Raw genomic sequence first — 24,221 nt, forward strand, 5'->3', positions numbered from 1 at the left:
CGCCGGTTCGATTCACGCACACATTTTTGTAAAACACGGACAAAACCATAAGTAGTTACCTTCATTGTTCCGTCGGCCACGAGGGAAGCTCGAGCTGAGCGGAGGGCAGATCCCAAGGGTCGTAGCCCCTGGCCGTGTGGACCGGGTCTGCGGCTGCAGAGCGCGGTCCCGGCTGCAGCAAGACCTGGGGCAGTGCCCGAGGCGGCGGCGAGTACACGTGGCGGGCTGGATTGCAGACCGGCCCTCTCGCGGCGGAGACTCGCGACCTAGCGGATTGCATCAGCAGGAAGACACTAAGGCTGCTCCCCCAGGCCGCCCCCAGATGGTGGAGTCTCTCCCAGCCCGAAGATTCGGAGCCAGCGCCCAGACCCGAGCCTCACTCACTGCTCACTCCCGGGGTGCAGGGCAGAGGTGCCAGTGTTGCAAGCAAATGACACGGTTACCCCCGAATCAGCCACTGTGGGTGCGTATCCGAGTGTGGGGATGCCCGTGTAACATTTATATGGAGACGTCAAGGAGGAGGAAATAAACAGATCAGAGGTCAAATGTGATTGCCATTCCGTCATCACTGGCTCCTGCCCACCTCCCTACTGTCCCCAAAGTAACTTTGCTGCATGCTGAGAGGACCACGGCACAATCCTGCCCAAAAGTATACATGTATCCCCCGCGGCTACTTTAAATGTACTTTTGCAGTAGTCAAGAACATGTGCCTGGTTTGCCGATCTCTTTCCCAGAGTTCCTTAGTCACCCTCAAATATAACCATTTTTGCCAATTTATTATGTACATGGGGGAAAATTTTTAATCCTTTAATTTGAGCATATAAAATTCTTTATAATGTGAAATTGCCCAGTAGCCTAGTTGGTCCCCTGTAAGTTCCCTCCCCACATCTATACAAAGCTCCAGGATTGCTACTTTTCCATGTCCAGCGCCTAGGTCAGCCTCCATGACTGCTTAAGTGTGCTGCTGGTTGACCTCCGCTGCCTCTCTGTCAAGCTGGCAAACTCCTATTTTTGTAAATTTCAACCCAAGTCTTTGCTGTGGAAGTTGCTTCCAATGCCCTCAAACAGAACTGGGCCCTTGGTCTATGTGCTGCACTTTGTCCACATCCTTTCTCAAAATCAATTATTTTATTTTATCATTTTTTAATGGAGATGGGGTCTCACTAAATTGGCCAAGCTGGTCTTGAACTCCTGGCCTCAGCAATCCCCTCGCCTCCGCCTCCCAAATTGCTGGGATTACAGATGTGAGACTGTGCCCAGCTTCTTAATTTTACTTTAATTATTTGTTTGCACAGTTGTCACTTCAGTGGATTATGAGATTCGTAAGGGCAGATCCTTTGTCATATTTATCTCCCATACCAAGTGGCCTGCCGTGGAAGAGAGGGAGTGTTGAAAACAAATGTGTCAGTGCTTAATGACTGTTGGTCAGGTGAATGAATGGTTAAATTATGTGTTCAATAAATGTACTGAGTGATTTCTACATGCTAGGCTGGTATATAACAGTGGTTTGTAATCTGAAATGTCTCAAAATGGAGCCATTTATGACAAGGGTTTCAGCCTCCAGTGAAATTGCTGACCCCTCAAATTGATAAGCATATGTATGGTGGACTGAGGTGATAAGATAACACCTGCTGTGGCCTGGCACCATTGGCAAGAGAGTAAAGAGAGAGGCAGCTGAGATAATGGCTATGGGCACTTGCGGATGCTGTGAAAACCAAAAAGTAATGAAAACCTGAAAGTAACTGACCACAGCCAAAATGCTTGCAGAAGTTCTGCCCTGAGAAATCTGTATCTGTAAGCATTTAATCAGCCATTGAGTCCTTGTGAAACCTCCTGGCCCCCGTCAGTGAAAGCACAGCTAGATAGATTTGAACCTGACACTGACATGAGACAGGCAATGTGCAAAATGCTAGGGACTGAGTGGGAAACAACAAAAATGTTCTTACCCTCATTAAGCTCATATACTAGTGTGAGAAACAGAAAGTAAGCTTTAAATCAGGTAGCAAAATGTTTATCAACTGAGGAATGGCTAAATAAAACATGGTATCATCCATACAATGGAATATTATTATATTCTGCAATAAAAAGAAATGAAGTACTGATTACATGCAGTCACATGGATGAACCTTGAAAACTATGCAAAGTGAAAGAAGCGTCTCACAAATGACTACATATTATATGATTCCACTTATCTGAAATGTGCAGAACAGGAAAATCCATAGAGACAGAAAACACATAGTTGTTTTCAATCTGGGGACAGGGTGGAATGCAGAGTGAATGTTCATGGGCGTTGGATTTCTTTTTGAATTGATTAAAATGTTCTCAAATTAGATTGTGGTAATGGTTACACAACCCTGTGAACACACTAAAAACCACTGAATTATACCCTTTAAATAGGTGAATTGTATGTTATGTGAATTATATCTCAATAAAGATGTTACTCTATGGCCCGGCATGGTGGCTCACACCTGTAATCTCAGCACTTTGGGAGGCTGAGGCAGACAGATCACTTGAGGTCGGGAGTTCGAGACCAGCCTGGCCAACATGGTGAAACCCCGTCTCTACTAAAAATTAGCCGGGCGTGGTTGCGGGGTGCCTGTAATCCCAGCTACTCACAAGGCTGAGTCACAAGAATCGCTTGAACCTGGGAGGCAGAGAGGTTGCTGTGAGCCAAGATCATGCCACTGCATTCCAGCCTGGGCAATAGAGCAAGACTCAGTCTCAAAAAAAAAAAAAAAAAAAAAAAAACAGGTACCATGTGGTAAATTTTATGAGAAAGAGTAATAAGGGGATAGAGAGTGATGGGGTCATAGATATAAATGCATTAATAAGTTCTAGAGCAAGCCTGGCAATTACTCCTAGATCCAACGACCGCCCCTCGCCCCCCTCTCCCTCAATGCAGGATTTTTCTCAGTCCCTTTGCCAGTCAAGGACCTCTAGCCGGCAATGCCGGAGGCCTAGCTCGGGGCATACTACCTGCTGCAGGAGGCACCCCACGCAATTTGCCCGCCTGAGACAAGTTTGCCTTGCACATTGGTTCCTGAGTTCTTGCCCCATGCCCAAGAAAAATGAAGATGTGCTGACAATTGAAGAGTGAGCAAGGCGGGGAGTTTTACTGAGGGATGAAACAGCTTTCAGCAGAGAGGGAAGCGGGGGTGGTCCCCCTACCCGAAGGCAGGAAAGTCTCCTCCATGAGGCTGAGTCCTGGGGCTTTTTATCGGCTCAGAATAGGGGAGGGGCAGGCAAACAGGAACAGAAATTCTCACTCTGCGTCATGGATTTCATCCAGGACCAGCAGTCTGGTCTTTCAGCCTTCAGGCTGTTTTTGGCTTGAAGGTACAGTTTCACCTCCAACCCTGTTGCTGTTACCCCTACTTAAGGATTCTTTTGATGTTAGCAACAAAGGAAGAGAGAAGGTAGTATATATTTAAAAAAAAAAAAAAAAAAAGAGCTTGAAGGGAAGTGAGAAAGTTAGGGAATTAACATCCACAGAAGAATATGAGGGCCGGGCGTTCACGCCTATAATCCCAGCACTTTGGGACGTCAAAGCAGGAGTTCAAGACCAGCCTGGGCAACATAGCAAAAGCCAGTCTTTACAAAAAATGCAAAAATTAGCTGTTTGTGGTGGTATGTGCCTGCAGTCTAAGCTACTCCCAAGGCTGAGGTGGAAGGATCACTGGAGCCCAGGAGATCCAGGCTGCAGTGAGCTGTGATCACTTCATACTTCACTGCACTCCAGCCTGGGTGACAGAGTGAGACATCATCTCCAAAAAAAAAAAAAAAAAAAGAAAAAAAAAGAATATAAGAACAATCTAGCTATGTCTCTCCTCCCATTTCCCTTTAGTGTTGATAGAAGGGCCCCACAGTTCTCCCTCATTGTCAACTGTAAACTCCCAAAGCTTCTCTCCCAGACAACACACATGCTTTTCCCAAATGATGAGGCTCATGATCAACGAAGGTTGTTACTCTGACAGTGGCACTGTACTTCAAACAAGTCACAGTAAAAGATATTTAAGGAAAACTGGATCCAAACTGGATATATACCATATACCCATCTATGGGCAGTGTCTTTTACTGAAGAAGAGACAGCATTTCTAAGATTTCTAATAGACACTAATTTTGAGGTTGACTCCAGAGCGCCAGACAGTCCAGCTTCATTTTGTCCTCACTGTTATTAACAAAGGCTTTTATTGCCATCATTATGAAAAATATGTGCCAACTACCTGCAGAATGTCTTCCCTGTATCTTACTAAATTTTCTCTAGGAAAGCAGAAACTCACAAATATTCTCTGCCTTGAGTTATTAACAGTTCCTGGAATTTGAATAGGAGAGTTTACATAAGGCAATGATACTCTGTCTTAAAAGAGGAAAATCTACTCTAAAATTCTACTCTACACACTCAGAAAACAATGTCATTCTCTTTCTCTATTTCTCATAGTAAAAAATACTTCAAAATTGTACTGTTTTTATATTTCCTATAATACTTGCATTCATTGCCCATTACATACATGTGCACACACACATGCATACACACACAGACACACACCAAGTTCAATACTCGAAAATCATTTATACTGTACTTTTTGGGAAATTTCCCATGACAATTTTGACTCACTGGATTTATTTTTATCCTTGTTGTACACACTCTAGTACCTAATCCCCATGTAAAATTAGATTTACTGGGTTGGGCGCGGTGGCTTATGCCTGTAATCCCAGCACTTTGGGAGGCCGAGGTGGGCGGATCACGAGGTCAGGAGATCGAGACCATCCTGGCTAACACGGTGAAACCCAGTCTGTACTAAAAATACAAAAAATTAGCCAGGCTTGGTGGCAGGCACCTGTAGTCCCAGCTACCGGGAGGCTGAGGCAGGAGAATGGCTTGAACCCGGGAGGTGGAGCTTGCAGTGAGCCGAGATCGCACCACTGCACTCCAGCCTGGGCGACAGAGCAAGACTCCATCTCAAAAAAATAAAAATAAAAATAAATTAATTCCTATCTATTTTGAAAGGATATTGTAAAGTCTTCTTTCTGCTAGTTCTCTAGAACCTCTCAGGGTACTTTCCACCCTGACGCACAAAGCTATCCTCCTTCTCCTTGAAACTCCTCCCTTCCACGATAGGATTCTGAATCTCCTCCAGCCTCTCTGGCAGGTCCTTACACCTTATTTATGATCACCTCATGCCCTCTAAATATAGGCAAGGTGTTCATCCCACCTGTATCTGATCTTGAATCTCCTCTTTATACTCTGTCCTCTAGTGTCTCTACTATGACCTGTAGTCTGATAACTTTTAAAACTATACTAGATCTCTGGTTCATCTCTATTCTAACAAGCCCAATTAATCCAAATCCAAGCACATAATCTTCCCTTTTTAACCTGCTTCCCTCTCTCTGCTGATGTCATTAATGTGCTTCCAATTATCCAGCCTCCAAACTTTCATATAGCTCCTATCTTTATAGATAGTACTTAAAGCAAGAGAGAAAGATATGAGCCTCCCCCATCCCGTAATCACTAAGCCGTCCCAATTGTATCTCCACAAAATCTCTTAGTCATCCCCCTCAGTTCCCACTCTCACTGCCCTAGTTTGGTCATTCATTGTACTTTCCCTCTGGATTACTGTTATCCCTGCCTTTAATCTCTCCCTGCCCCAATCCACCCAACACACAGATGGCTAGTAATCTCCCTAGTCCTCCGTTCTGATTAGATTTTTTTCTCCTGTTCAAAATCATGCAACTTGCACTCAGATGCTCTGGTGAGAGCCTGACATGAGTACATGTTGTGTGCCTAAGCACACCTGAAATCTTCCATCATTGTTTCTGCACAAATGCTCCTTGGAATTTCTTTTCCTCCGACTTTGCTTGGCTAAATGATATCCAGTCTTGGAGATCCGTTTTAATTACTATTGCCCCATTTGCAGCCTTTCCTGAAGCACTCCTTGTTATAAACCAGTGATTCCCAATTAGGAGTGATTTTGTCCCCCTGGGGAGATTTGGCAATGTCTGAAGACATTTTTATTATAATACCTAGGGAAGTGGGGGAGATTTGCTACTGGCGCCTAATGGGTAGAGGCCAGGGATGCTGCCAGGCATCCTACAATGCACAGGACGAGCTCCCACAATAAAGAGTTATCTGAGCCAGGCGTGGTGGCTCACACCTGTAATTCCAACATTTTGGGAGGCCGAGGCGGGAGGATCACCTGAGGTCAGGAGTTCGAGACGAGCCTGACCAACATGGTGAAACCCCGTCCCTACTAAAAATACAAAAATTAGCTGGGCGTGGTGGCAGGCATCTGTAATCCCACCTACTTGGGAGGCTGAGGCAGAAGAATTGCTTGAACCCAGGAGGTGGAGGTTGCAGTGAGCCAAGATCATGCCCTTGCACTCCAGCCTGGGTGACAGAATGAGACTCTGTGTCGAAAAAAAAAAAAAAGTTATCTGGTCCTAAATGTCAATAGTGCCAAAGTTGAGAAACCCTGCTTACAGACCCACACCAACTTTTGTACTTGATATGGTTTGGCTGCATCCCTACCCAAATCTCATCTTGAGTTGTAGCTCCCATAATTGCCACATGTTGTGGGAGAAACCCAGTGGGAGATAATTGAATCATGGGGGTGGTTTCCCCCATACTGTTCTTGTGGCAGTGAGTAAGTCTCATGAGATCTGATGGTTTTATAAGGAAAAATCCCCTTCGCTTGGTTCTCACTCTCTCTTTGCCTGCTGCCATCCATGTTAAGATATGACTTGCTCCTCGTCTTCCGCCATTATTGTGAGGCCTCCCCAGCCATGTGAAACTGTGAGTCCATTAAATCTCATTCTTTTATAAAATTACCCAGTCTTGGGCATGTCTTTCTTAGCAGCATGAGAACAGACTAATACAATACTGTTTCTATAATTACTGGTGTATAAGTCTTAGCTACTCTTCTCTTGGATAAATTCTGTGAAAACACAGAACCATTTTCTTTGTAATGACCATGGTGTTAGCCTACTAACTACCTCTCAAGAGTCTGCCTTCTCAATCCTTCACAATCTCTTTTACCTCTTAACATCTCTTCAAATAGTGTTCTCCCTTAGGGTTTCATCCCATGTCCTTAATTTTTTTTCTTTTTTTTTTTGAGGCGTAGTCTCGCTCTTGTCCCCCAGGCTGGAGTGCGACGGCGCGATCTCCGCTCACTGCAAACTCCGCCTCCCAGTTTCAAGCCATTCTCCTGCCTCGCCACGCCCCGCCCCCTCCGCCCCCGCCCCGGGGAGCTGGGATTACAGGCGCCTGCCACCACGCCCAGCTAATTTTGTATTTTTAGTAGAGATGGGGTTTCACCATGTTGGCCAGACTAGTCTCGACTTCCTGACCTCAGGTGATCCACCCACGTCAGCCTCCCAAAGTGCTGGGATTACAGGCATGAGCCACCGCGCCCGGCTATTTTTTTTTTCTAATTCATTTTAAATCCTCTCCATAAGGAAATCCATCTACTCCTTGGCTAATACTCTTACTTATCTAGCAACGGGCCATTTTTTACCCAGGCGTGGTGGCTCACACCTATAATCCCAGCACTTTGTGGGGCCAAAGCAGGTGGATGGCTTGAGCCCAGGAGTTTGAGACCAGCCTGGCCAACATGGCGAAACCCCATCTCTACAAAAAATACAAAAATTAGCCAGGCGTGGTGATGCATGCCTGTAGTCCTAGCTATTCGGGGGACTGAAGTGTGAGAAGCACTTGAGCCTGGGAGGTTGAGTGAGACGTGATTGTACCACTGCACTCCAGCCCAGGAGACACAGAGAGACCCTGTCTCAAACAATAAAAATGAAAATAACAAAAATCCATTGTTCTTCTTTTTTCTTCTAATAGAGCCCTGGTTCTTTTTTCTATGGTGAGGATACAGAATATGCCTAGTCCTGGGGGATTAATAGTTAATCTAAGGCAGTGATGACAATCTCATTGTACTTTGCAATATATTTACTTTCCCATACTCTCTTGAGCTAGAGAAGATCAAATAATCAAGTTCGGATCAATGAGACTTAAGAGAAAGTCACCCGAGGAGCTTTTAAGGATTTCCCTTTTGATTAGGAAAACATAAATCAGGCAAGGAGAGCTTACTGGTGCCTCCTTCTTTTCCTTCTTCCTTTCCTCCCCCTACTCCCTCTTCTCCACCTCCACTTCCTCCTCCCTCTCTTTTTCTGCTTTCTGCCTTCTTCTTAATTTTATTTTAGTAAGTATGCTTAACAGCTCTATCCTCTTAACAGATGTTTTTTTTTCTTTTGAGACAGAGTTTTGCTCTTTTTGCCCAGGCTGCAATGGCGTGATCTTGGCTCACCGCAACCTCCGCCTCCCGGATTCAAGCGATTCTCCTGCCTCAGCCTCCCAAGTAGCTGGAATTACAGGCATGCGCCACCATCCCCAGCTAATTTTGTATTTTTTAGTAGAGACAGGGTTTCTCCATGTTGGCCAGGCTGGTCTTGAACTCCCAACCTCAGGTGATCCACCAGCCTCAGCTTCCCAAAGTGCTGGGATTACTGGGATTACAGGCGTGAGCCACCGCGCCCGAGGTTTTTGTTTTGTTTTGTTTTGTTTTTTCTTTAGACAAGGTCTTGCTCTGTCACCCAGGGTGGAGTGCAGTGTCGTGGCATGGCTCACTGCAGCCTTGAACTCCTGGGATCAAGTGATCCTTCAGCCCCAGCTTCCCAAGTAGCTAGGACTAAAGGCGTGCACCCCCACACTCAGCTAACTTTTGTATTTTTTGTGGAGACAGGGTCTTACTTTGTTGCCCAGGCTTGTCTTGAACTCCTGGGCTAAAGTGACCCTCCCACCTCAGGCTCGCTAAATGCTGGGATTATAGGTGTGAACCACCGTGCCTGGCCCCTCTTAACAGATTTTTAAGTGCACAATTCAGTACTGTTATTTATACGTACAATGTTATACAGCAGATCTCTAGAACTTACTCATCTTGCATAATAGAAATTTTATATCTGTTGCCATTGATTAGCAACATTTTCCCCTTCCCCCAGCCCTGGCAATCACAATTCTATTCTTTGTTTCTCACCCCATTCTCTTCTTGTTTTAAATGTTGTATACAGATAAATGTTTCAGAATGCTGCCACCAACCATCCTGCAACCATGAGTGGCAAGCCCAAGACCAAAAACCAAATATTGAGGATGGCAAAGAAAAAAGAAAGAGACTGGACTGTTGGGGACATCACTGAGCCACTTTGCCAAACCTGGAGTTGCCTACCTTCAAAAGTTTTGTTATATGACATAATTAATCTTTACTGCTTTGCCACTTCTGGTGGAATATTTTATTACTATCACCAGAAGCATTTCTTGGCTTCAATAACACACATACTCCAGTGTCACCTGCTTCAAGAGCACTCTACTCATAATTCTGACTAATGTACATTTCCACATGTCTGACCCAAAGGCATGTATAACTCAGTAGACTTTTATCGTATATATAATTAACTTATATTTACTCTTAAATCCTTCTCTGTGTGTGTGCATGTGTGTTTGTATGTGTGTGTGTGTCTTGCTACTATGTGTTGCATGCTTGGTAGACTCTTTTTGAATTTTCTTTGTTTTGTTGTTTTTTTTTTTTTTGAGATAGAGCCTTGCTCTGTTGCCCAAGCTGGAGTGCAGTGGCGCAATCTCAGCTCACTGCAATGTCCGCCTCCTGGGTTCAAGCAATTCTCCTGCCTCAGCCTCCCTAATAGCTAGGATTACAGGTGCACGCCACCATGCCCGGCTGATTTTTGTATTTTTTTGTAGAGATGAGGTTTCACCAGGCTGGTCTCAAACTCCTGACCTAAGGTGATCTGCTGGCCTCAGCCTTCCAAAGTGCTGGGATTATAGGCATGAGCCACCAGGCCCGGCCTTCTAGCTTTCTTAATAACAACACTATTAAACCAGTATCCCAAACAACAGTCAGTCAACATTAGATCCTACCTTTCCTGAACTCTCTTCAAATCTGATCATTTATAATGTCCCTTTATTATTACAAAGATTCCCCTTTATAATTTCTTAAATTTGTCTTTCGCTCTTCACACTCATTAGAATATCTTATTTCAAACTTCTGTCATCTCTCCTTCAGCCATTAGCTTCTTTTTTTTTTTTTTTTTAAAGACGAAGTCTTGCTCTGTTGCCAAGGCTGGAGTGCAGTGGCGCAATCTCAGCTCACTGCAACTTCCACCTCCTGGGTTCAAGCAATTCTCCTGCCTCAGCCTCCCGAGTAGCTGGGAATATAGGTGCCCGCTACCATGCCTGGCTAATTTTTGTATTTTTAGCAGAGACAGGGTTTCACCATGTTGGCGAGGCTGATCTTGAACTCCTGACCTCAGGCAATCCACCCGCTTCGACCTCCCAAAGTGCTGGGATTACAGGGGTGAGCCACTGCGCCCGGCCCAGACATTAGCTACCTAACTGGTATCCTCACGACATTTTGACATATTAACCTATCTTAGCCTTATTTTCCTTATCTGTAAAATGGGGAAAATAAAGCCCATGGTTTTCATGAGTATTAAGACTTAATATGCATGAAGTAATCAAAATAGTGCCTCGCACATAGTAAATGTTCAATAAATATAAGCTCTTATTATCATCTTCGATCATAATGCTTTTTAAAATTATTCTATGAGATTTTTTTTCTACAAAATAAAACACTTTTCACTCAATCACCATTGCCCAAATACTCTTCCCTTTACCCAAATCAAATGTACTGATGGTTCTAAAGATAATGCTTAGAGCATACTGAATTAGGTTCAAGTCACTCTCTTTTATGTCCTCTCCACACTATTATTTATTACCTACTTAGGCTCTCTCTTTTAAAAAGATGAAGGTTTCCTTATTTGGTTCACAAGTTTCCTCTCTATCCAGAACCTTGCCATTATCTTAGGTCTTCAAGTGAGGACCAACACCTAGAATCTGGATGATCTTTATTTCTACTCTACATAAACCATTCGTTTCCATAGTTATACCCTTGACTTCTGCTAAAGATGCTCTCCCCCAGGTCCCACCCAAGATCTACTGATTCATAATTACTGGGGAGTAAGGTATAGGAGTAAAACACAAACATCTGCATTTTAGTAACCACCTGAGATACTGATATATTATTGTGCATACCAAAGTTTAACACAACCGAACTAGATCTTTTCATCTCCCAGAATTACTGTATCTCTAAATTTTTCATTAAAACATTATCCTTCAGGAGGAAGAGGCAGAGCAAGACGGCTCAATAGAAGCCTCCACTAATTGTCCTCCCCACTGGAACACCAAATTGAACAACTATCCACACAAAGAAGCACCTTCGTAAGAACCAAAAATCAGGTGAGTAATCACAGTACTTGGTTTTAATTTCACATCACTGAAAGAGGCACTGAAGAGGGTAAGAAAGAAAGATGGTCTTGAATTGCCAATACCACCCTTTCCTCATCCCTTGTCAGAGGCCATATGGCATGGAGAGAGATTCTATATGCTTAGGGGAGGAAGAGCACAGTGACTGTGGGACTTTGCGTTGGAACTCAGTGCTGCCCTGTCAGCAGAAAGCAACACTGGGCAAAACTCAGCCAGCACCAGCAGAGGGAGCATTTAGATCAGCCTTAGCCAAAGATGAATCACCCACCCCAGTGGTTGGAACCTGAGTTCTAGCAAGCCTCACCACAATAGGTTAAAGTGTTCTGGGGTCCTAAATAAATGTGAAAGGTGGTCTAGGCCACAAGGACTGTAATTCCTGGGCAAGTCCTGGTGCTGTGCTGGGCTCAGAGCTAGTGGACTTAAGGAGCATGTGACCTAGTGAGAAACCAGCCAGGGCAGCCAAGCAAGTGCTTGTGCCACCACTCCCCTAACCCTAGGCAGCACAGCTTGCAGCTCTGGGAGAGACCCCTTCCTTCAGGCTTGAGGAGAGGAGAGGGAAGAGTAAAGAGGGCTTTGTCTTGCAACGTGGATACCAGCTCAGCTACCATAGGATTGGGCACTACAATAGGATAGGCAGAGTCTTGATGGCCCCATTCCAGGCCCTAGCTCCCAGAAGACATTTTAAGCACACTCTGGGCCAGAAAGGAACTCACAACCTCAAAGGGAAGGGCCCAGTCCTAGAAGAATTCAACACCTGCTGACTAAAGAACCCTCCTTGGGCCAGGCCAGGTGCAGTGGCTCACGCCTGTAATCCCAGCACTTTGGGAGGCTGAGGCGGGTGGATCACGAGGTCAGGAGTTCAAGACCAGCCTGGCCAACATGGTAAAACCCTGTCTCTACCGAAAATACAAAAAATTAGCTGGGCATGGTGGCGGACGCCTGTAATCCCAGCTCCTCGGGAGGCTGAGGCAGGAGAATTGCTTGAACCCAGGAGGTGGAGGTTGCAGTGAGCCAAGATCACGCCATTGCACTCCAGCCTGGGTGACAGAGCAAGACTCTGTCTTGGGGAAAAAAAAAAAAAAAGAAGTCTTGGGCCCTAAATAATCAGCAGTGGTACCCAGGCAATACTTGCCATAGGCTTTGAGTGAGACTCAGAGATGTGATGGCTTCAGATATGACCCAGCACATTCCCATCTGTGGTGGCTACAGGGAGAGACTCCTTCTGTTTGAGAAAAGGAGAGGGAAGAGTAAAGGAGACTTTGTCTTATAGCTTAGGTACCAGCTTGGCCACAGTGGGGTAGAGTACCAACTAGACTCTTGGGGTCTCTGATTCCAGGTTTTGGCTTTTAGACAGTATTTCTGGACCTGCCCTGGGCCAGAGGGGAGCCCGCTTCCCTGAAGGAACAGACTCAGAACTGCCAACATCACCAAAAGCTGACAGAAGAACCCTTGGGCCTTGAGTGAACATCGATGGTAGCCAGACAGTATTTGCCATAGGCCTGGGGTGGTGGTGGTCATGGGGAGAGACTCCTCTGCTTGTAGAAAGGGGAGAAAAGAGTGAGAAGGTCTTTGCCTTGCAGTTTGGGTGTCAGTTCAGCCACAGTAGAATAGATCACCAGGTAAATTCCTAAGGTTTCCAACTCTAGGACCTGGCTCCCAGAGGGCATCTCTAGTCATGCCTGGAATCTGGAGAGCTAGTCACTCTTGAACAAAATTCAAGATAACACAGGACACAAGCCCAGCTGGCTTCACCACCTCTTGATTGTAGAACCCTGGGGTCTTGAACAAACATAGGCTGTCACCAGGCAGTGGTTACAGTGGGACTTGAGTAAGACCCAGTGCTGTGCTGGCTTCAGGTCTGACCCAGCACAGTCCCAGTGGTGGTGGCCACAGGGGTGCTTATGTCACCTCTCCCCCAGCTCCAGGCGGCTCAGCACAGAGAGAGAGACTCCATTTGTTTCAAAGAAAGTAAGGGAAAAGAACAAGGGCTCCTTCTGGTAATCCAGAGAATTCTTGCAGATCTTATGCAAAACCACCAAGGCAGTACCTCTTGAGTCTGCAAGAGCCATAGTGTTATTGGGCTTGGGATGCCCCCTAATGCAGATAAGTCTGCAGTAAACAAAAACTTAGATCCCAACACCTAACTCTCTTTGAATACCTGGAAAGCTTTCCCAAGAAGGGCAGGTACAAACACGCCCAGACTGCAACAACTACAATAAATAAAATAAATACCTAATTTCATGAATGCCCACACATCAATAAGCTCCACAAGCATCAAGACCATCCAGGAAAACATGAATCCACCAAATGAATTAAATAAGGCACATATCTCTGGAGACACAGAGATATGTGACCTTTCAGACAAAGAATTCAAAATCGCTGCTTTGAGGAAACTCAACAAAATTCAAGATAGCACAGAGAAGGAATTCAGAATACTATCTGATAAATTTAACAAAGAGATTGAAATAGTTAAGAATCAAGCAGAAATTCTGGAGCTGAAAAATGCAATTGATATACTGAAGAATGAATTACAGTCTCTTAATAGCAGAATTCATCAAAAAATACTACACACATGAAGGAGAAATAAAGACTTCCCTAGACAAAGAAAAGCTGAGGAATTTCATCAACAGTAGACCTATCCTATAAGAAATATTAAAGGGAGTTCTTCAGTTTGAAAGAAGAGGATGTTAATGAGCAATAAGAAATCATCTGAAGGCACAAAACTCACTGGTAATAGTAAGTACACAGAGAAACAGAATATTATAAAACTGTAATTGTGCTGTATAAAATACTCATATCTTGAGTAGAAAGACTAAAAGATGAGCCAATCAAAAAAATAACTACAACTTTTCAAGACATGGACAGTAAAATAATACATAAACAGAAACAACAAAAAGTTAAAAAGTGGAGGAATGAAGTTAAAGTGTAGAGCTTTTATTTGCTTTCTCTTTGCTTGTTTGTTTATGCAATCAGTATTAAGTTGTCATCAGTTTAAGATAATGGGTTGTAAGTACTATTTGCAAGCCTCATGGTAATGTCAAATCAAAGACAATATAACAGACACTGTGAAAGGCAAATAAATCTTGGGACCCCAAAATCACTAAGCTAAAGGGAAAAGTCAAGCTGGGAACTACATCAGGCAAACCTGCCTCTCATTCTATTCCTAAGTAATATAACTACAAAGATGTTTTAAAAGCTATATACGTCCATCACAATTCGCTCATAAAGAAATCCTTCTGGGCCTCAAAATCTTTACCCTAAAACAATTCTGTTGAATTTCACCCTTGTGATGTAAATTGATACCTTATCTTCACAGGTGCCAGACAGAAAGTCATCTCTCTGCTCAACTGAGACAAATGCAGATTCATTGAGCCAGACTAAGGCATAAGTGACTATTCCTCTATGTTCCCCAACATGTAAATTGTGGATTCAGTGAAAGGCTGATTGAAGAGTCAGAAGAATGTAACTTTTTGTCTCTTATCTACCTGGAACCACACCTTATCTACCTGGAACTGTCCCCTCCCCGCCCCCCCAATCCCGCCCTGTTTTGAGTTGTCCTGCCTTTCTGGACCAAATCAATGCACATCTTACACATATTGATTGATGTCTCATATCTCCCTAAAATGTGTAAAAGTGAGCTGTACCCTGACCACCTTGAGCACATGTTGCCAGGACACAGCCTCCTGAGGGTACATCTTTAACCTTGGCAAAATAAACTTTCTAAATTGATTAAGGCCTGTCTCAGACACTTTGAGTTGACAATACACAAAAACTAAAAAGGAAGAAATTAAAAGATACCACCAGAGAAAATCGCATTCACTAAAAGGAAGACCACAAAACAACCAGAAAACAAATAACAAAATGGCAGGCATAAGTCCTTACTTATCAAAAATAGCATTGAATGTAAATGAAATAAACTCTCCAATCAAAAGACATACCATGGCTGAATGGATTTAAAAACAAGACCCAATGATCTTTTGCCTACAAGAAACACATTTCACCTATAAATATATGTATAGACTAAAAATAAAGGGATGGAAAAATATATTCCCTGCAAGTGGAAACCAAAAATGAGTAGGAATAGCTATACTTACATCAGATAAAATAGATTTCAAGACAAATGCTACCATGCCCAGTTAAATGTTTTTTTTTTTTAAAGTGTTTGTAGAGACAGGGGTCTTGCTAAGTTGCCCAGGCTGGTCTTGAACTCCCGGTCTCAAGCCATCTTCCTGCATCAGCCTCCCAAAGTGCTATAGGCATGAGCTACTGGGCCTGCACTGTTTTTCTTTTAATATTTTAGAGACATTGTTCTACTATCTGCTGGCTTGCATTGTTTACACTGAGAATCTTCTGTAATTCTTATGTTTGTCCCTCTGTATGTAATATGCCTTTTTTCTCCTGCATTTTTAACATTTTCTCTTTGCCACTAATTTTAATCAATTTTTATTATGAGGTGCCTTGGCATAGTTTTCTTCATGTTTCTTTCACTTGGGGTTTGTTGAGCTCCTTCAATCTATGAGTTTACAGTTTTTGTCAAATTTGGAGTTTTTAGCAATTATTTTTTCACATTTTTTCAGTTTCTTCTCTTTTTTATTTATTTCTCTTTCTTTCTTTCTTTTTATAAATAGAGTCAAGCAGGTCTTTCCCTGTTTCCCAGGCTTGTGCAGTGGTACAATCATAGCTCCCTGTAGCCTTGAACTCCTGGCCTTAAGCAATCCTTCTGCCTAAGCCTCCCAAATAGCTAGGACTACAGGTTCATGCCACCACACCTGGCTAATAGTTTTCATTTTTTGCAGAGTTGGGGCCTCACTCTGTGGCCCAAGATGGTCTTGAACTCTTGGGCTCAAACAATCCTCCTGCCTTGCCCTCCCAAAGTGCTGGGATTACAGGTGTGAGCCACCACACATAGCATATTTTTATTTTTTCTTAATTTTTGTCTTTATTTTGCTTTTTAGTTTTTCTTTCAATCAGCTTTCTGAGGCTGAATGCCCTTCTCTCTTGAATAATTTAGAGACTATAATTTTATATATATTAGGCCTCTTGAAGTTGTCCCATAGCTAATACTGTATTTATTTTCCATTACTTTTTTCCTTGTCTCATTTTCAATAGTTTATATTTCTTTCTTTAAGTTTACTAACCTTTTTTCTTTTGTAGCATCTAATCCACTGTTAACGTAGTCTCTATTTTATCTCAAATATTATCTTTTTTATTTTTTATAGTTTCACTTGAGTCTTATTTTTTTCTCAGACCTTGCAGGGATGAAAGAGTCATTTAAATATCTTCTTTATATTAACATACTTATGTTTCCTCTATCTTTGTGAACATATAAAACATAATTTATAATGCAATATAAATATTCATTGTAACTTTTAGTATACTTGCTTATGAATTCTATTCTCAATCTCATTTCTGGATCCCTTTCAGTTATTGATAATTCTCCCCATTTTGGGTCATATTTTCTTGCTTATTTCCATGTCACATGATATTTGTTGGATGCCAGACATTGTGAATTTTGTCTTGTTGAGTAATAGGTATTCTTGTATTGCTTTCATTTTGATATTCTTGTGCCTTGTCCTGGGACACAACTGTCAGTTGGAACCAGTTTTATCTTTCCTTTCTTTCTTTTTTTTTTTTTTTTGAGACAGTCTTGCTCTGTCACCCGGGTTGCAGTGCAATGGTGCAGTTTCAGATCACTGCAACCTCCGCCTCCCAGGTTCAAGCAATTGTCGTGCCTCAGCCACCTAAGTAGCTGGTATTACAGGCATGCACCACCATGCCTGGCTAATTTTTGTATTTTTAGTAGAGACGGGGGTTTTGCCATGTTGGCCAAGCTGGTCTCCAACTTCTGACCTCAAATGATCTGCCCACCTCCGCCTCCCAAAGTGCTGGGATTGCAGGTGTGTGAGTCACCAGGCCCAGCCTATCTTTCCCTACTTTTAAACTTTGTTAGATGTGACCAGAGCAGTCTTTAGTCAAGAGTGATTTTGTCCCACTTCTGAGGAAATACTCTTCTGAGTTCCATACCCAATATTCCATGTATTACAAAGTTTTCCCACTCTGATTGGTGAGAATGTCCACTATTCTAGGCTCTGTGTTTTTTTGTTTGTTTGTTTTTTGAGACAGAGTCTCGCTCTATCACCCAGGCTGGAGTGCAGTGGCGTGATCTCAGCTCACTGCAACCTCCATCTCCCGGGTTCAAGTGATTCTCCTGCCTCAGCCTCCTGAGTAGCTGGGACCACAGGTGCCCACCACCACGTGCAACTAAATTTTGTATTTTTAGTAGAGACGGAGTTTCACTATATTGTCCAGGCTGGTCTCGAGCTCCTGACCTTATGATCCGCCGACTTCAGCCTCCTAAAGTGCTAGGATTACAGGCGTGAGCCACTGTGCCTGGCCAAGCAGTGCTTTATTGAGTTGTCATTAACCTTGGGAGGAAGCAGCAGAGCTGCCTCTCCATGCTCCAGGAAACCGCGGCTTGCAGGTACCACATCTATCCCATCTCACTTTACAGAAAAGTCCTGAGGCTGGGCGTGGTGGCTCATGCCTGTAATCCCAGCACTTTTGGAGGGCAAGGCGGACAGATCACCTGAGCTCGGGAGTTCAAGACCAGTCTGTCCAGCATGGTGAAACCCAGTCTTTACTAAAAATACAAAAATTAGCCGGGCGTGGTGGTTGGTGCCTGTAGTCCCAGCTACTCTGGAGGCTGAGGCAGGAGAATCGCTTGAACTTGGGAGGTAGAGGTTGCGGTGAGCCAAGATCATGCCATTGCACTCCAGCCTGGATGACAAGAATGAAACTCTGACTCAAACAACAACATCAACAACAAAAAAAAACAGTTCTGAAGCTTAATTATATAAAACTACTATACACGAAATTTACATTAGAAAAAGAGAACTGGGTGTAGGAAAGCCGGGTGTGGTGTCCTCTTTAAGCGAAGGTCTCTCCGCAGTTGGGGCATCTTCGCTTCCTCAAGGCAAAACGGCAGATGAACCCAAAGGGGAACAGGATGATGACCAAGAAAATGCCCAGGGAGCTGAAGCAGTCCTCCAGCACCCCCGACCCTGCAGACGGGACAGCTTCCCATGACCATGATGGAGTTGGCAGGGTACCAGGTGGTGGTCTGGCTGTGGATGTTGTAGACCCTGGGGTGGCGGGTGGGTACCCCTGTGACGAGGTAGGGGTAGGGCCTTGGCGGGGGCTGGCAGGGTTGGCGCCATAGCTGTGCAGGCAGCATGCATAGTTGACCTGGACGGACTCCAGGTTGTAGGCCAGAGGCCGCTTCTGCAGCAGAGGTTTGTGGTCCATGGCAGACCCACTCAGCTCAGTCGGCCCCAGTGGGGACCCTAATCTTGAGGAGCTTCCTCACAGATGTGTGCTGACCAGTACCTGCATAAGGGATGGAGGGATCCATTCACTGCAGATCCGCAGAGTTCTCCTTCCCCTACTCCTCTTCAGCACTGTGTTCTGCAAACCCTGGCTGCATTGGCCTCCCCATACTCCCGACAATGTCTCCTCAACTCATTGACAACCCAAGTATATTCTCTATGCTGTAGTCTGGAAACTCTAGGCAGGAAGCTGGGTCAATCATTAGGCTCACTTCATTTGTTTTCCTGCTCTCAGGGATTACTGCTCTGTTCTGTTATTCAATGTCTGAAAACCATTGTTTCAAATACATATTTTTTGCTGTTTTAGTTATTTAAGGCAAGAGAGTTAATCTGGTCCTGTTACTCCATCTTTTTTACAGAAAGTACTAGGTGTGAGGGCAGGGTTGGGGTGGCAAGTAATTTAGAACTATTTGTCACAAATAAGCATTTTGGCACAAGAGCAAAGCTGGTAAGTGCGCCTAATATGACCACTGCTCCCCACCATCAGATATGTGCTTTTTAAGCCTTTTAAAGTGGTAACATTGAGCTCATGCACAATTACATAATGCAAAGTACTAGCCATGCTATTTCATAAAAATAAAGAGCAAAAGTATATATTAGCTCCCAAAATTATATTTGGTGATTTATGCTTCAGTATTTTATCTTACTTCAAAATTACCCAGCCATCCAAAGATTATCTATTAATTAATTCAATTTACTATAGTCCAAAGACTTAATTTAACTAAAGATTTTAGGTATTATGCTTAATCTAACACATTACAAAATATAATTAATGCTGATATAAAAACATGTATCAGAATTATAATTCAGCCAGGCGCAGTGGCTCACACCTGTAATCCCAGCACTTTAGGAGGCTGAGGGGGGTGGATCACTTGAGTTCAGGAGTTCAAGACCAGCCTGAGAAACATAGCAAAACCTTATCTCTACTAAAAATACAAAAATTAGCTGGGCATGGTGGCACGTGCCTGTGGTCCCAACTACTCGGGAGGCTGAGGTGGGAGGATCACCTCAGCCTAAGGAGGTTGAGGCTGCAGTGAACTGAGAGTGCACCAGTGCACTCCATCTTGGGTGACAGAGTGAGACCTGCCTCAAAAAAATAAAGAAATTATAATTCAGTGTCATTGATTGTATTATTTTATCTTTTCAGTATTCTTAAACATTATGTGGGGTATAATGTTATCTGATCTATAAATAGTATAAGTTTAGGAAGCTCAGATTAACTAGTCTCTTCATTAGAAAACAAACTCAATCTTATTTTTAAAAATTATATGTTTGTATTATACTCCATACTGATAAAATTGAGGAAAGACAATGCTGTTTTTTAAAACATTATCAAACTAATTTGTCTAAGGATTCTGGTGATCTTTGAACTCAGCTTCCTATATCAAAATGCTCCTGAGCAAAACCTTCTATGAGAATACTTTGTTTTTTTTTTTTTCTTGGCACTTCCTGAGTAGTGTATTACAAGTTTCATTTCTTTATTTTCAAGGACTTCTAGGAATATTAAATTTATATAAACATTTAGTATTCCCCATAAACCAATAAAATCAGAGCTCTTTATTAAAAAATCATAATCTAATTTATTAATACTTTATACCCTAATTTACTAATATTTCATCTTCCATCCAAAAGAGGTAAAGGCTGTTTCAATTGCAGACACATGGACATCAGAGGGCACGCAGTTCAGTTCTATAATCTCATCCACAGGTCAAAAGTCAGCTTGGTAACACAATAACACTCTGGCCAGATCTCAAAGAGTTGTTCTCCTTTTCAGTGAGCATTAAATATTGTTTTAATTGGCTTGCATTCACAATAGACAAACAGAAACAAAAAAGACTAACAAACCATATTTTCTGTTTGTCATATTTCACCCAATGGAAAATAGTTCCTCATCATCCTAAGAGAGATCACCAAGGGGACAGGCAATAAAACCAGACTCTTAATTATTGCTGCCAACAGTGAGGAATTAATTATCAGTTGTGTTCAGAACCCAGAGAGCCTCAGGTTCTCGTATACATAGCGGGTGCCTGATGACCAGTCTGGTAGTGCATTACACACAACTTCCTTGAACATGCTGTAGAAAAAGACATGGCTCACACCACTATTTTCTAAGAACACATGAATATATGAGGTGCTCTCTTGATTATGAAGCCAAGACTGGCCTAGTGGTTCATTAGCAGAGGTGTGCTGTGGCTGGGCCCCACTGGCTCATGAGAGACTATTGTGCTCAGCTCTTCCTAACTGTGCATTCAGTGATGTCACATTGGTAGGTTAAAAGAGTCCATGTTACCAGTATTGATAGCACAGAATTTAATAAATGTTGAAAATCGGCCCCTCTCGCCACCTCAAAGTGAAGCAGCTGTGTTGTCTGGGATGACACCTGAAGTTCTTGGTTTCACAGCCAAGGAAATCAAGGATGTGGACACACCAAGGGTGAAGTTTAGAACAGAAATTTAATAGGTGAAAGAAAGAACAGCTTTCTGCAATAGAGAGGGGTCTTGGAAAAGGGTCGCCTTTTTTTTACAGTTGAATGCAAAGGCTTTTATAAGAAACCCATGAGGGCTGGGCATCTCATTTGCATAAGGTGCAAACTTCTGGGGGCCCCACCCCATCCTCCTAATGCACATGCAGGCCCTTAGCTTGAGTTACTCTATATTCCTTTGTTCCCCTTACTGTGCACGTGTTAGGGGATAGAATTTTCCATTGCAGGCATACCTGGGCAAGTCACTCGAGTAGCCTTTCTTATCTGTGGGCAAGTGTTAGGCTAGCCCCCGTAAGCTCCCTTATCTGTGCCTGCAGGCTGTTCTTTTGTTTGAAATAATTCAACCGAGGACCCACCCTAACTGCCTGCCTGACTGGGTTTTTTCCTTTCTCCTCTCACGAAAGAACCAATTGTTAAACATTTACCTGCATATTATTTTTTTTTACGCACTAGTTCCTGAATCTGGGTAATGGAAAAAGAAATGGCCCAAATCACAAATTAGAAAAGACAGATTAATAGAGTTGTCCAACAAAGTAAACAAAAACAAAAACATGGAATGTTAAAAAAAAAAAAAAAGGAAGGAGGGGAACAGTCAGCCAACTCAAACTTGTGTTGCCACATACCTGGATTTCAGCAACCCATAAGGTAAATTTTTAGTCAGTTTAATTGTCTCAGCCAAGTGAGTCTACCTGGACATTTCAGTGAGACCTCCAAACTGGTTTTAAAGTATAAATTGCAAAAACTAGTAACATGACTCTCACATACATATAGAATGAATATGTGTCAAAAAATTTATTCAATTTATCAATGAGAAAGCCAACAAGGGATTCAAGCTCATTCAAAGACGTATAGAAGAAATTTTGCATAAATATAACCAAGGCACCATTCCAAATATATCTGGTCAACCATTAAAAGCATTCTCCCAAGTCTCACTTAGTTTTTGCCCTTCCTAGCGCCTTTGATAGCCATCTTGTTATTACTAATCTGGTCCTTGCTTGTTTAATCTCTTGGTAAAAGTCTGTGTCTTCTAGATTACAACAATTCCAGATAAAGATGATGCTAACGCAAGGCTTCTAACACATCCCATCTTCTGAACCAAGAAATAAAGATATCCTGCCTTTCGGTCCCTTAGATCAGGCATCCAGAGATTTTTACACCTCCAATACTAGGCAAGGCCTACGCCCATCAAATCATCAGGCCATCACACAAACAAGAAGCTCCCCTGCCTCCCTAGAGGCTGACTGCAAGCTCTTATGAGAGAATCCTGTCTCTAAGGTCAATGTTCACTGACAGCAGGAAGAAGTTACAGAAGAATGACCTTCAGCTGGGTGTGGTAGCTCACATCTGTAATCTCAACACTTTGGGAGGCCGAGGCAGGAGGACCTCTTGAGCCCTCAAGTTCAAGACCAGCCCAGGCAACATAGCGAGACCCTGTCTCTACAAAAAATACAAAAATTAGCTAGGCATAGTGGAGTGTGACTTTGATCCCAGCTACTCAGTAGGCTGAGGTGGGAGGACAGCTTCGGCCCAGGAAGTCAAGGCTGCAATGAGCTGTGATCGCGTCACTGCACTCCAGCCTGGTTGACAGAGCGAGACCTTGTCTCTAAAAACAACAACAGCTTACATCTGTAATCCCAGCACTTTGGGAGGCCAAGGCAGGTGGATCACTTGAAGTCAGGAGTTTGAGACCAGCCTGGCCAACATGGTGAAACTCTATCTCTACTAAAAATGCAAAAATTAGCCAGGCATGGTGGCAGGTGCCTGTAATTCCAGCTACTCGGGAGGCTGAGGAAAGAGAATTGCTTGAACCAGGCAGAGAGGCAGAGGTTGAAGTGAGCCAAGATCGCGCCACAGCACTCCAGCCTGGACGACCCAGTGAGAGTCTGTCTCAAAACAAACAAACAAACAAAACCAAAAACAAAAAACAAAAAAACTAGCAACAACAACAACATCAACCTTTGTCCTTCATCTCCCTTTAAGATGAAGAATTGTCTCATAAGTAGAGGGGGGATTATGTTAAGGAGGCAAGAGCATAGGAGAGCCAAGGTGACACCATTTTACAATCAACTCCATCTTAAAACCAGCAAGGTGCAGTCCTTGCCAGTGAGAACCCATGATTATAAGATGTTCACAGCTAAAGAAATAGCTTAATAATGTCTGTAAGGACTGGTTCCCAAGACAATGGGTCACATGACCCTACTGATAAGACAGGTAGTAAACCTGTTGTTTAGGAGATAGTAAACAACAGGTAACAAGACTCTGCTGCTAAGAGAAGAGACAGTAAAGAAACCAGCCCAAACCAGCCAGAACCAAGAAGGTGATGACAGCAACCTTCACTGCTCATTTTACGCTAATTATAATGCATCAGGATACTAAAAACACTCCCACCAGTGCCATGACAATTTGCAAATGCTGTGGCAACGTCCAGAAGTTACCCTATATGGTGAGGATGGGGGAGAAACCCCAGGTTTGGGGAGCTCCTCTGCCCTTTGCCAGAAAACTCATGAATAATCCACCCCTTGTTTAGCATATCATCAATAAATTGCAATAAAATAGCCAACTAGCCCCCTCCCACCCTGCTCTGCCTATGGAGCGGCCCTTTTTATTACTTTACTTTTTAATAAACTTGCTTTCACCTAAAAAAAAAAAGTATAGAAGAAACAGAAATATTTATAGTCAATGAAAGAAAGAATGCAAAAATACGATTGCAAAGTTAGATACAAAGTAGTCAATTTCCTACAGGGCCTATTGGAAAATAAATATTTCATTAGCTATGAAAGCTGTAAATAATAGCTGTAATTATTATCTCACTTGAACAATCTTGTTTAAAGAGTCTGTTTCTTGTATCTTCACTTTGTCTGAGCTGGACCCTGGCAAAGAAGAAAAGGAAAATATTCATTCTGACATAGGTTCCTACCCCTGAGAAAAGAAAAAAATTAGCTTCTAATAATGTTAATGTTAATTGGGATGTCCTATACAAAAATGATGTCATAGCTATTTTTCCTTGTAGATGTATCTGGTT

At 43.1% G+C, this 24,221-nt stretch overlaps 1 protein-coding gene, 1 long non-coding RNA gene and 1 pseudogene across 16 annotated transcripts in view, besides 5 other annotated features; 1 reads left to right on the forward strand and 2 right to left on the reverse strand.

Moving 5' to 3' along the window:
- Nucleotides 1-473, reverse strand: part of BCAT1 (branched chain amino acid transaminase 1) — a 139,317-nt gene extending 138,844 nt beyond the window's left edge. For 11 of the 13 annotated variants that reach the window (NR_182106.1, XR_007063110.1, XR_007063108.1 and 8 more), the window contains exon 1: nt 60-234. Coding sequence is in view for 7 of the 13 variants with exons in the window: in NM_001178092.2 (NP_001171563.1) it covers nt 60-65 (6 nt within the window). In the remaining 6 variants the exon portion in view is untranslated. Of the gene's footprint in view, nt 1-59; nt 267-384 lie in introns of those variants that run through there. The other 2 variants (NM_001413101.1, NM_001413107.1) reach the window with 2 other exon arrangements.
- Nucleotides 128-477: an enhancer, noted in NCBI's record as "active region_6106". NCBI's record gives its function as "activates an Ori minimal core promoter by ATAC-STARR-seq in GM12878 lymphoblastoid cells {active_cell/tissue: GM12878}" and the evidence as "EXISTENCE:reporter gene assay evidence [ECO:0000049][PMID:35858748]".
- Nucleotides 296-15,267, forward strand: BCAT1-DT (BCAT1 divergent transcript). Of its 3 annotated transcripts, NR_199053.1 has the most exons (5): nt 296-463; nt 8,260-8,373; nt 9,067-9,407; nt 11,187-11,305; nt 14,649-15,267. It is a non-coding gene; the product is annotated as a BCAT1 divergent transcript (long non-coding RNA). The 3 variants fall into 3 exon arrangements; NR_199054.1 differs by lacking the exons at nt 8,260-8,373; nt 9,067-9,407; NR_199055.1 differs by lacking the exons at nt 296-463; nt 8,260-8,373; nt 9,067-9,407 and adding an exon at nt 6,696-6,790.
- Nucleotides 598-687: an enhancer, noted in NCBI's record as "active region_6107". NCBI's record gives its function as "activates an Ori minimal core promoter by ATAC-STARR-seq in GM12878 lymphoblastoid cells {active_cell/tissue: GM12878}" and the evidence as "EXISTENCE:reporter gene assay evidence [ECO:0000049][PMID:35858748]".
- Nucleotides 2,968-3,037: an enhancer, noted in NCBI's record as "active region_6108". NCBI's record gives its function as "activates an Ori minimal core promoter by ATAC-STARR-seq in GM12878 lymphoblastoid cells {active_cell/tissue: GM12878}" and the evidence as "EXISTENCE:reporter gene assay evidence [ECO:0000049][PMID:35858748]".
- Nucleotides 3,418-3,487: an enhancer, noted in NCBI's record as "active region_6109". NCBI's record gives its function as "activates an Ori minimal core promoter by ATAC-STARR-seq in GM12878 lymphoblastoid cells {active_cell/tissue: GM12878}" and the evidence as "EXISTENCE:reporter gene assay evidence [ECO:0000049][PMID:35858748]".
- Nucleotides 6,588-6,827: an enhancer, noted in NCBI's record as "active region_6110". NCBI's record gives its function as "activates an Ori minimal core promoter by ATAC-STARR-seq in GM12878 lymphoblastoid cells {active_cell/tissue: GM12878}" and the evidence as "EXISTENCE:reporter gene assay evidence [ECO:0000049][PMID:35858748]".
- Nucleotides 18,260-18,637, reverse strand: BRI3P2 (brain protein I3 pseudogene 2; annotated as a pseudogene).

This window comes from Homo sapiens, chromosome 12 (assembly GCF_000001405.40).
Source record: "Homo sapiens chromosome 12, GRCh38.p14 Primary Assembly".
Classification (NCBI taxonomy): Eukaryota; Metazoa; Chordata; class Mammalia; order Primates; family Hominidae; genus Homo; species Homo sapiens.